The 13,633-nt window shown below is 34.5% G+C and overlaps 1 long non-coding RNA gene across 1 annotated transcript in view; it reads left to right on the forward strand.

The window, feature by feature from the left end:
- LINC01425 (long intergenic non-protein coding RNA 1425) overlaps window positions 1–2,620 on the forward strand; it is a 50,431-nt gene extending 47,811 nt beyond the window's left edge. The window contains exon 5 of the long non-coding RNA NR_109958.1: window positions 2,384–2,620. This is a non-coding gene — a long non-coding RNA (long intergenic non-protein coding RNA 1425). The remainder of the gene's footprint in view (window positions 1–2,383) is intronic.
- The last annotated feature ends 11,013 nt before the right edge of the window (window positions 2,621–13,633 follow it).

Below are 13,633 nucleotides of genomic sequence, written 5' to 3' on the forward strand. Positions count from 1 at the left end.
TTGTTCCTCTTTTGGCTTCATAAACTCCTATGTCAGTTGTGTGTGTTAGGTCTGGCTTATGCAGAACACCCATACCAATGAGGTTCAGAGGCAGTAACAACTGACCTAGCGTTTAGCCTGTTCTCATTTGCTACAGCTTGCGCTTTTGGGTTTCACTTACTGCTTGCTCTCACCCACCTAACACCTATCCCTCCTTCCCTGCTGCCCGTGTCCTGTGTACTTCAAGATCCAACATCAAATACAAAGACAAAAGATTTACAGATACTACTTAACCAGTTTGCGTATGGTCAAGCCTCTGAAAATACTGCATGAGGTCAAATCTCTATTGATTTATCTATTTCTGGTTCTCTGAACACTGAGTGATATGCTTGATATCACCAATGACTAGCTAAGTGATTTGGAAGTAATAAGTGATTTATCTTCATTAAATCTGTTTTATTTACTACAAAATGGGAGTTTTGTGTGAAATAAAAATTAATGTAGGTGCTGCACTTAGCAAGAGATCAAACATGTTATAAACACTCAATCAATAGTAACAATTATCATTACTCTGTCCTAAAAACTATCGTGTTTTTATTCTCTTTTTGCTATTGGACTAAATACAAAACAAAATACAACAATAGAAAAAAATAAACAACCAACAAATACACAAAGAAATTACTACTATTCCCCAATGGCAACTTAATCTTATTATTATTATATCCTTCCAAGAGCCTGCAAAACAAGAAAGCTAAAAAAATCTGTTAGATTCAGTATTTATCTCAAGCTCATTACACATAAACAAATTGTCCCTAATAATCAATATGGGAAGCATGCTTCTATAGAAAACATTTGAATTATTTAAATAGCATTGGTTTTTGCCTATGTGATTCTTGTTGTAAGAACATTCCTTGCATTAGTTTGAAAATAGGAACATCTAGAAAATCTACTAGATGATATTTAGTGCTTTTTTAGTATTTCTTAGTTTCTCAAGTCATGTAAAAAACCATGTTTTCATGTTTTTAACATGGGATAAAGTTGACTTGGCTCCAGAGACCAATTAATTACATGGGAAAAGATAGAAAAACTAAAAATTGTGAAAATGAAAAATTATTCTTACATTACTATGTATAAAAAAATTCATACTTAGGCATATAGGACCTGTACAATGGAGAAAATCATTAGTTGCCTAAAATAGTTATATGTCCATATCTTTCTGTGGCTCTGATTTATTAGATATAAAATGGTGTATTTATTAAAATATCCTTGGAAGTGTCAAAATATTAAAAAAATTATAATAAATGTGATATATACTGAATATAATTTAATAAAATTTATAAATTTATTAACCTGTATATTGTATGTATAAAACAGATATATACAGAGAGAGAAAGAAAGAGCTACAGAGAAAGAAATAAGAACACTCAAACATAGCTGATAGAAATGTAAATTGGTATAGCTTTTAAAAAGTTAAGGAAGAAAATGTTTCAGTATATATTAAAACAAATGTGTATTTACATTTGAATTAAGCAATTTCATTTTTTGGAGTTTAAAGACACATTTCCAACAATATGAAAATGCACCTGCAACAGGTTGTTCATTGTTTTTAATAGCAAGATGTTTGGTGAAGATGCATGCATAAACATAAGAGATTGACTGAATACACTATTAGAATTACACACTGAAATCTATGTTTCTGATTTAAGAAAACTTTGGGAGGCCGAGGCAGGTGGATCACAAGGTCAGGAGATTGAGACCATCCTGGCTAATACAGTGAAACCCCCTCTCTGCCAAAAATACAAAAAATTACCCATGGTGGCAGGCACCTGTAGTCCCAGCTACTCGGGAGGCTGAGGCAGGAGAATGGTGTGAACCCGGGAGGGGAGAGCTTGCAGTGAGCCGAGATCGCGCCACTGCACTCCAGCCTGGGCGACAAAGAGAGACTCTGTCTCCAAAAAAAAAGAAGAAAACAAAAACTGAGGGAGATCTGTTTTGCCAATAGTGGAGAAACAGGAATACAATGTTAAGTGGAAAAAAAACCTTATAGAGTATATATAGTGTGCTATCATATGTGTAAAAGAAAGAGGAGTAATAGGAAATATACATATATTTGCTTATTTTTGCAAAACAAAAGCCAGGAATGATACATCTAAAACTAATGATATTGCCCATATTAGTGGGTTGAATAGTGTCCCCCAAAATTCATGTCTACTGTAAACCTATGAATGTCATCTTATTTGAAAATAAGGTCTTTGTACATACGGTCACGTTAAGATGAAGTCATATTGGATTAGAGTAGGCCTTAAGTCCTTATTTTTGCTATAACTTTTTAGAGTAGTATAGAGTAGTAGCAGAGTAGTAGAGTAGAGGTTCTTTTATTTTTGTGTGTTTACTTTTTTTTTAGGAGAAGAAGACTTAGAGACACAGACACACAGAGGGAAGAAGGCCATAGAAAGACAAAGGCAAAGATTGGAGTTGTACTGCCACAAGCCCAAGAATGAGGAAACCACCAGGAGCTAGAAGAAACAAGCAAGGATTCGTCCCTGGATTGGTCTTTCAAAGGGAGCATGGCCCTGCTGACACTTTAATTTCAGACTTCTAGGCTGCAGAACCATTAAAGAATAAATTTCCTTTGTTTCAAGCCATGCTGCTTCTGTTGTTTTCTTATGGCAGTCTTGGGAAACTAATATATCTATTCATACATAGAAATGGAAATGGGGAGAAACGGTGTTAAAGAAAGAGTGAGCTTCTCAGACTCCCCTTTTTGGTATAGGTTTTACTTTTGGACCCATGTTAATATTTTACATAATTAATAAAATAAAATTAAGAAGTTTGAGGGAAACATCTTTAAAATGAAAAACAAACCAACAAACAAATGAACCTAACAGTATTTCCATTCAACGTATTGGAAAAATGCAACCAAACTGAAGGTTGGAGCAAAGAAGGAATCCAAATAACTTGCAAATACATTAGCACAGTATTTTGACTATAATACCTTCAGTGTAAAGACAAAAAAGACTTTCTGAAAGGTTCTGTAACCTCATTAGCAATATTTTTGTATTGGCATGGATTGGTACTTTTAGAACTGCTTTCAATGTAATCTAAGACTGACAAATGAGATTATGTATTGTGGACAATTGTTGCACTGCTGGAAGAGGGAGTAACCACATAAAAAGGAGTTGGGGAATAGAACAGATCTTCTAGTGTGGAATTTAAATTGGGAATATCAGCTTATGAAATAGTTAAATAGATACATACATGTATAGATATATGTATACATGTATGGATCAGTGTATATTATAGACATATATTAATATATTATCTATTCTAGTGCTCTAAATATCAATTCTGAGACAACTGGAGTTATTCAAGACTTCTTCCGTACACTATATGGTCAGTTTCATTTGGGTCTCAAAGTACAAGATCCGCCAGTTACTTGTTATTAATTTTTCCATGGCATAGTCACACATATTTTTACCTGCTTTGAAACAGCTTTTATGATGTTATGTTTTAAAACTTATGAAAATGAATATTTGCAGGGATAAATGATTATAAAGTATTTAAAAGTTTGATGTAATATCATACAAATTGACAGATCATATTCCGTGAAAACATTACAGCTAATTAGAGGACAATATTTCTTAGATTTCTACCCCCCAAAAATAATTCATTTTATCCTCCATTTTGAGTGGTGCTGAAAAAAAGTATTAAACAGAGTTCTTAAAATATGCTATAACTAGTAGAAATTATTTTTTTAATTTCTATTGTTTTCATTTTTCAAAGTAAAATTTATTTAAAATTTATATCAAAAATTAAGATTTATCAGACTATGTCTACTTTGGCAAAATAAACTGTTTTTGTGATCATTTTGTCTTTCACTATGAGTCAAATTATTAAGGTGAGTTTTCTTTTCAGCTTATTACAATTATCCTAATAGACAGCACAGGATGCTGTCAAAGTCTTAGTTTTGAGGGTTAATATTAAATCACCATTCTTATATTTCGCTTCCTCATTAGATCAATAATGCAAAAGGTCTAATGTAATGTCAAAGGACTTGCATTCATCAAACTGGAAATACCTTGTGGCTGTTCATTAGGGTTATGCCTTCCCTGCTTTTAGAAAATATTACTGAGGGATTTTTATTCAACCAATGAATGCCTATAGGATATTTTATGAACCAAGTTAGAAAATAGACTGGGGGAAACGTATGGATAATTGGTAACCAGAACAAAACAGAATAAGTCCAAGATTATGAAATATAAATTCCTTTCTGTGCTAGAATAAAAATTGTACAAATACAGTATTATTCAAAACACATATACTGTAGATATGGAGACTCTTGTTTATCACCATTTGCCTTATATAATATTTGCATTTAATAGAAACCAAATAATTTGAAATTAACTTTGTAGTCATATTTTATTAATTTTACATTTAATTTTTATTTATTAGTTGGGTGATACTCAGTGTAGTGCTTATAGTCTGAAGCAGTTTTTTGAAATCTGTATTGAAACATTTAAAAAATATCTAGTGGAGCTTCTTTACATCATTCTTCAGTTTGCCATTTATTTTTGTCAATATGCTAACCTCACAAATGCTTTGCCTTGTGTTATAATAGTCCAAAAATTACCCTAATGTTTCCTTAAAAAGTAGTTTTTTAAAGAATCTGCTACATTAATAACTTCATGTAACATTTAACATGTAATTAAACAACATATTATGGATTTACTGAGTTATTGAGTTAGGAGATTTTCACTGAAATAACAAACTGTATAGCCGATTCAGTTATAGCTGGTATGTTGTAAAAGCAAGATACAGACAGACTTATAGTCACTTAAAGTCATATAAACTGCATAATTTCTGTAATTTATAATGTTATGTAAATTGAAAGTACACACATTAAAAGATGCTTTACATCATTAATTATTAATAAAATGCAAATTAAAAACCACAATGAGATACTATGACACGCTTGTTTAAATGGCTAATATTAAAAGAGGCTACCTGAAGTATTGCAGAGAAGAGGGTGGAACTGGAACTCTGATACTCTGACTATGTGTATGTAAAATGACACAACCACTTTAGAAAAACAGCTCAACAACTTGTCTTGTTTCATTTGCTAAGCATATGTCAGCCATATGGTATAGCCAGTCTACTCCTAGATATTTACCCAAAGGAATAAAAAGGAAATATATGTCCGTATATCATGTATCATTATAAGAGATACTTGTAATAGTCAAAATCAACCTAAATGCCTATGAATAGGTGAATACATAACATTATAATGTACCCAACAAATGGAATATTAGCAACAAAAATGGGGGAACTGCTGATAAAATCAACAACCATGGATGAACCTGAAAATGTTCCTGAATAAGCGAAGCCAAGACCTTCCCCTCCCCAAAAAAGAGTATGTATTAGATGATTCCATTTATACAAAACTCAACAAAAGGGAGACTAACTTGTATTGATAAAAAGCAGGCAATGATTGTTTGGGGATGGAACGGTACGGTAGAATGGATGAGAGACAGGTATTACCAAGAAGCATGAGGAAATTTTGGGGGATGTTGACATGTTCACTATTTTGATTGCGGTGAGTATTTCACAGTGTCAAAATTATTCAGTTTTATCCTTTAAATCTTCACAGTTGCAAAAGGTTTTACAGAACAGGTGTTATTTTAAAGCATCCTTTAAAAGAGTGTGTTTTTATTCTCTGTTGTCACGTGCCCCATGTTGGGCTCCTTGAACCACAACTCTCTCAATGCAGACCATGCCTCTCCTTCACTGCCTTATTCCAAGTCTCAGCCACCACAGGCTGCTCTAGTCAATCTCTCTCCTTCATCTTTCTCAGGCATGCGTCAGACATCAATTCCCCAAATCTCCAGCTGCCGGAAACAAATATTTAAGCTTTTCAAGTGGCACTGCACCCATAGACTTTAAGCAAATGGCACACATTCTTCACCTTGTTGAAGATACGAATTTAGGTCTTTCTAATTATACCTTTTCTGTTAGATATAAGTGAGTTCTCGAACTGGTTCCTAACCACCTACCTAGTTGGAAATGCAACAAACTATTTTTTGTCTCAGACAAAGCTACTTGGAAATGCTACTTGGAAATGCAATACCTATTATTTTTATGTCTCAGATAAAAGTGAGTTAGGAAACTTCCCTTTAACAATCTGTTACAGATATACTGACTCAAGAAATATTTATTCAATATCTACAGTATTTAAGGTAATGTACCTGGTTCTGTAGAACATAAAGAGGTAAACATATTATATCCTCAAATACCTTTAATATAATCTAATATGAAAAACTAGATATGTGGTATAATTCAGAGAGTGGCATGCTACAAAAAAAGATACAAATGAAGTGCAATGGGAAATTATAGACACAAAGGTGTCCTTTATTCTGGATTTTCAGGATTCGGGCCAGTGGAGAGAATAAGAAAGAACATTCCTGCGGAAAGCTTATGTGAGTAAAAGATGAATAAAATATGAAGTATGATAACTTTATAAGTAAAATAATTCTTTACCACTGGTTATTTCCAATTAGAATAATAATTCAATTTTACAACTTCAGACCTCATGACTTTGGTGTTATCCAAGTATCTATTAGTATGTTTCTGAATACATTTAAATGAACCAGTTGAAATATTTATGTGTATATTAAATTCCAAAAATGTAATAAATCACAGAGTTTCATTTACAGTTTATTAGTGAGTAGATTACCTCCTCTGCTTCCTGGCTGCTTTCATATTGATCTGAGATTTAATAGCCAGATAGAAATGATACTTACACATTGAAATTGCCCATAATAATGAGTTTTTCTTTTTGTATTCTATGAACAGCATAACAATGTCTTATGATAATTAAAATAATCTGCCATGTCATGAAAAGCACACAATTTAGAGATGACAAAACCAAAAGGAAAAAAAGTTACGTAATGAATGTATTGTAATAAAATTTTCTTAATTCTTGATCTAACTCTATGAGGATGTTTATGAAATGAGAATATGTAAATCACGCTTGAGATGCCAGGTACTTTAAGGGTAAGATTTTTCTGGTAACAATGGTTAGGTCGGGGAGGCTGTCAATCAGGAACATGCTGCACAGTAACTGATCTCTGAAGGCTCACACTTTAATGACACAACCAATACAGTGTGTATTGGATATAAGGAAAAAGAAGAAACCATAAAATTGTGTGTGTATGTGTCTGTGTGTGTGTATTCACCTGTATCTGTGTACACACATTCTCTTATTCCCAAACAGGAAGCAATGGTCACTGTCCTGGCTCCTTGCTACTTCTTTGCACCACTCAAAAGTGCCTTCCCTCGGAATGCAGGCCACATTGTTATTTAAACTGGACTTCCCTTTCACTATCATTATCTGGCATCTTTTAACATCTTCTTTATCTCACTCAGTCCTTTTATTTCAAAGAAGTTCATAGAGAAGCATAGATTTGGTGGCAGCAAAGAGGTGAGTATGATTAGCATTTTGACCTATGTAAATGACACGTTTGTTATAGCCTATCTAGGAAATTTGCCTCTCATAATAATTATTTAAAATATATCACTAGGGTTGCCATTGCTAAATTAGGCATTGTAACTTCAATTATATTTTAATTACATAACAAAATGATAAACCAATTTTAAAAACTATTGACATATAAAGTAGTATACAAAATCAACATTTTGTTTTAAATTATTTAGTAAAATTTTATCATATAGTCAATTAGTTGGCATGACAATAATTTTTAAATATCTGATATTTTTCAAAGAAGACTATAATATTCACAGTTCTTTGTGGTTTAAAAACACTTTTATCTGTTTTTCCAGTTGAAATAATTATAGTTTAGGGCTGGGCATGGTGGCTTATGCCTGTAATCCCAGCACTTTGGGAGACTGAGGCAGGTGGATCACTTGAGGCCAGGAGTTGGAGACCAGCCTGGCCAACATAATGAAACCCTATTTCTACAAAAAATACAAAAATTAGCCGGGTGTGGTGGTGTGCACCTCTAGTCCCAGCTACTTGGGAAGCTGAGGCAGAGAATCGTTTGAACACAGGAGGTGGAGGTTGCAGTGAGCTGAGATCATGCCACTGCACAAAACAAAACAAAGAAACAAATAAAAACAAGAAAAAAAGAAATAATTATACTTTAGGATAAAGTAGGAAATGGATTTTTTTTAGTATTTGAAAAAGGGTGCTAACAAGCTCAGAGAAATTAAGAGACTTATTCAATGGTCTTCTGACTCCATGCCTTTTATTTTTTCTACAATATTTTAAACATGATGATTGATATGGTTTGGATTTGTGCCCCCAACCAAATTTCATGTTGAATTGTGATTCCCAATATTACAGGAGGGCCCTGGTGGGAGGTGACTGGATCATGGGGGTGGATTTCCTCTTTCTGTTCTCGTGATAGTGAGTGAGTTCCCACGAGATCTAATTGTTTAAAAATGTGTAGCAGCTCCCTGCTTTGCTCTTCCTCCTGCTCCAGCCATGTAGGGCATGCCTCCTTCCTCTTCGCCTTCTGCCATGATTGTAAGTTTCCTGAGGTCTCCCCAGACATGCTTCCTATAGAGCCTGCATAACCATGAACAAATTAAACCTCTTTTCTTTATAAATTACCCAGTCTCAGGTATTTCTTTATATGGTACAATAACTGACTAATACAATGATATTTAGAAATAAGAGACATGGATATTTTGAATAGGTTGCCACGTAGTAAAACAAATTGAAAAACAAACTAAAAATATGCATTTATCTAAACAACTATAAAAGGTATACAGTCAGTAAGAAAAGTACATTTGTAAAGGAAATTAATCACTAATATGAGACTAAAATGCATGATGATAAAATGACCTCACAAAACTACAGATGAAGTAGATCTAGGAAGGTTATAATTGGCCATAAGCTTAAGTAAAATACTCACTAATCTAACTTTCTGCTGGGTATAGAGGGATTTATTTAATAAGTGCAAACATTGTGTATTTTCCTTAAGAAGTCTAACTGCTGAAGAAAGTCTAACAAATTAAAACGAGCAGTATGAAGTTAATTAAAAGCTAAATCCTGGGATGCATGTGGTGGCTCACACTTATAATCTGAGCACTTTGAGAGGCTGAGGCAGGAGGGTCACTTGAGACCAGGAGTTCCAGACCAACCTGGACAACACATCAAGACTCTGTCTCTACAAGAAATTTTTAAAAAGAAAGAAAATTAGCCAGGTTTAGTGGCACAGATCTGTCATCCCAGCTATTTAGGAGCCTGAGATGGAAGACTACTTGAGCCTAGGGGGTCGAGGCTTAAGTGAACTATGATTATAACACTGAACTCCAGCCTGGGCAAGAGAGTGTGTCTCTGTCTCAAAAAAGAAAAAAAGAAGAGGTAAACTGTGAAGCTCGGAAATTGTAGCATAGAGAGAGATAAAAGTATGCTAGTATCTAGAAGTTAGAGGCTGACTTAAATCTTAAAGATCAGTCGTAGTAGGATTAGAAAAAAAATGAAAAGAAAGATGAGGTAATTCATAAAGAAAGACAAAAATGAGCAACTATGCAACACAGTGAAGAGATTAATATAAGTATAGAAAATTTATGTAGAGAGGAGATAGCTATTAAGGCCAAGTGGGTGATGGGCTTAGACAAGTATGATAGAACTGGATTTTGTGAGAAGGCTTTGCATTCTGACTCTGAATGCAGGTTTCAAATAGATACAGAAAATTTGTGAAGAGGTAAAAAGAAATCCTATACATCTGCCTTGGCACTAATCAGGAACATGATCCTTTTATTTATCTGTTGCTGGATATATATATGTATATATTTTTTTCCATTGGGCTTACAAATTTCCATTTCTGCTATGGGCAGGGGAAGTTTGTAAAATTAAAGTTAAAAGAAATTCAGTTTGTTTTAATTTTAAAATGGTTTCCTTTGGGGGAAACACTAAGTCTTCTAATAAGCCCTCTGCTCCTCATTATTGCTGACATGTAGAAGATTCTTATATGTCCTCATCATAATGGGACAATGGACCTATGCTCTGATTTGGATCCTTGTGCTGTCCTCGGGCTCATGAATTAATACTCCTTAGCAGTAAGTGTCTTCCTGCCATCTAGGCTGCAAGAAGTGGCCACAATCAGAGACTTCAGGGCCCTCCTAGTGGGTCCATCCCCACCATGACTCTTGCAGATCCTGTTGAATCCTGAGTACTCAAACATGTCCTTCATTCAGTATTTGTCCTAGGCTCTTTGTGATGGTTAATACTGAGTGTCAACTTTATTGGATTGAAGGACGCAAAGTCTTGTTCCTGGGTGTGTCTGTGAGGGTGTTGCCAAAGGAGATTAACATTTGAGTCAGTGGACTGGGAGAGGCAGACCCATCGTCAATCTGGGTGGGTGCCATCTAATCAGCTGCCTGTGTGACTAGAATAAAGCAGGCAAGAGAAGATGGAGAGCAGACTTGCTGAGTCTTCCGGCCTTCATCTTTCTCTTGTGTTGCATGCTTCCTGCCTGATATGGTTTGGCTGTGTCCCCACCCAAATCTCATCTTGAATTGTAGCTCCCATAATTCCCTTATGTTGTGGGAGGGACCCAGTGGGAGATAATTGAATTATCGGTCAGTTTCCTCTATACTGTTCTCATGGTAGTGAATAAGTCTCATGAGATCTAATGGTCGGGAAACCCCTTTTGCTTTGCTCTCATTCTTCTCTTGTCTGCCACCATTTTGAGACGTGCTTTTCACCTTTCACCATGATTGTGAGGTCTCCCCAGCAATGTGGAGCTGTAAGTCCATTAAATCTCTTTCTTTTGTAAATTGCCCAGTCTAGCATATGTCTTTATCAGCACTGTGAAAATGGACTAGAACATCAGACTCCAAGTTCTTCAGCTTTTGGACTCTTGGACTTACACCAGTGGTTTGCCAGGGGCTGTCAGGCCATTGACCACAGACTGAAGGCTGCATTGCTGGCTTCCCTACTTTTGAGATTTTAGGACTCGGACTGATCCACCACTGACTTCTTTGCTCCTCAACTTGTAGATGGCCTATCATTAGGCTTTACCTTGTGAGTGTGTGAGTCAATTCTCTTTAATAAACTCCTTTCATTTATAAATCTCTCTTATTAGTTCTGTCCCTCTAGAGAACCCTGACTAATACACTCTTTAAGCTGTAGCCTTGGTAATGGAATCAACACCTACCCTCAGTACAAAACAGACCTACCGGTTCTAAACTGTGTCTACACAACACTCAAGATTTGATGCTTAAACGTATAGGTGGCATTTTCCCCCAAATTCTTAAGTCCCTCTCTGAATTTAAACAAACCAAATACTGTTTCTCTTCTAAAATTATGTAGGTATGACTTTCTTCAAGGTGGTCCCAATTCTCTAATACAGTCAATTAGTTGGCACTATAATAATTACTCAATATTTGGTATTTTCAAAGGAGAACTTTGTTTTTTATAATTCTTCTTGGTTTAAATACACTTTCATATACTTTTTTCTATTTTGAATAATTTTAGTTTACGATAAAGTAGGAAATGGATTTCAAAAATATTTTTATATGAACAAATAAGCAAAAGTCCTGCTAGATCCAATCTCCTTCTTACTCTGGGAACATCTTATAGTGTTGTGGCTCTTTCTCTATGAAGTTATGACCTAGATGAGAGTTAAAAAACCTCAAGTCTGACTGTGCTCTTGCTCCTTCTTTCTCTCTGCACAAACAGTTAATTTCATAGGGGCTACCACTTTGCCTTTTTCTCCTCTTTCCAAGAGATATTCACCCTTCCCACTTTTATAGGATAGACAAAAGTTCTCATTTGGACATGACTAATGGCCTACAGAATAACATGAATTATGAAAGTATTTACTATATATTAATACTTTCACAATATTATTTGTATATTAACTGACTTTTGTATGTATTTTGTTATAAAAGATATATTATGTTAGCACTAGCACGAAATTCCAGGCTATAAAGGTGAAAGAGTAAATCAGATAGTCTATGTTCTTAATGAGATTACAGTAAGGCAGAAAGAAAAATAATTGAATAGAAACTTACAAAAAAGTGTTACAAAGATTTTGAAAAAGGAGAAATCTTCAGCGGCATACAGCGGAGTAGAGAGAGCTCACCTTCAGGCCAGGGATGAAAGGGGAAACACTTGGCAACTAACCAGAAGAGCTTTGACTTCATGTGACAGTTAACAGGGACTGGCTTCATACTGGATGAAGGTATCTGATGCTACATTACGAAACTAGTCTGATGGTAGAAGATAAGTGCATTGGAGGAGAGTGTGACAAGGATAAATGATACTGTCAGAGACCCCAAATTGTTGACGTAGAAATGAATTGCAAAGAGAACATTTTGGGGGAAATGCTATCCATAAGGTTGAAAAATAATAATTACTGAAACTGGCATTTATGGCCATGGGGAAATGTCATGATAAAATGTAATCCAATAAGATACTGAGAAGTACTAAATAATTATGGCAGAAATGGAAAGCAATCTTTCTGCTGTTCTACATCAATCAGGTTTCTATAATTGTGTCTAGTTTTAGATGCTGACCTTATTTAAGAAAGGGTGAAAAAGGAGATGGTCAGAGAAGAGAAACAAAGATAATTAACCCTCGGGTAAATAGTAATATTAAATGAATTAGATTTGTTTAGCTTAGAGAAAGGAAGGACAAGGGCAATCTGATTATAGAAATGACTCATACATAGAGTAATTAGGAGGGAAATGCAGTTTTCTATGTCCACACAGGACTAAACAAAAGGAAATTGACTTTAATAAAGCAGTAATTGTATTTCTAGATTTGTTTAAAAAAAAAAAAACACCGTTTAAACACTACTACTAATCAGCTACTGCTCTATATTTACCATGTTTGTGTAGGTTCCCACAGGACTGTCTCTTGAGTCTCCATTAGCATCTGTCTGTGCTGACTGCTCTACTCATGTGGTTAGGGATTTAGGACTAGATGTACTCATGGGTGTGTGATTTAAACACATTTGCAACAGTTTCTTAATTTGATTTCATAGATGCGCTCTGACAAATGATTGAAAACACTGTAACTCTGCTCTTTTAAGTCAATAGCCTCCCCATAAAGTGTGATTTAAGTTTGCAGGGAAAGAGAAAAAAGATCTGTAAGTTGTTTTGTTAGTTTTTATCTTATTGCAAAAAGTGAAAATCAACTCCTTATAAATATATTATTAATCAAGAGAGTTTTTAACATATTTTTAAGAAATTTTATAACTCACTTTATGATTTTTACCTGTTTTAGTTATATGGAAAAATCTGAAGTTACTAAAAAATTAAAATTGATATTTCTAAGTGACTCGAGAAAGTTCACGATGACTGATTTTATCATTTTTTACAACTACATAGAAACTTCCTGTGTATCGAAACTTTCTGTACCCCCTTTCTATAAACTCCTATAAGTTGCCTGTCCACAAACTGTGTATGTAATCTAGGGTCAATGGAAGGAGCTTAAACTCTACCTATAAGAGAGGAACATCAATGTATTTGAGAACATAAGTTAAATCCACCACCGTACTATACATACATATATTTATGAAAAATTTTTGTACGGTGCTAAAAAAACTATTTCTTGCATGCTCCTTTAACCTTTAAATCTATAAAGGTCCAGTGCATTAAACAAGTCATATGTGTCCAGGAG

The sequence above is a fragment of the Homo sapiens genome, chromosome 21, assembly GCF_000001405.40.
Source record: "Homo sapiens chromosome 21, GRCh38.p14 Primary Assembly".
Lineage (NCBI taxonomy): Eukaryota > Metazoa > Chordata > Mammalia > Primates > Hominidae > Homo > Homo sapiens.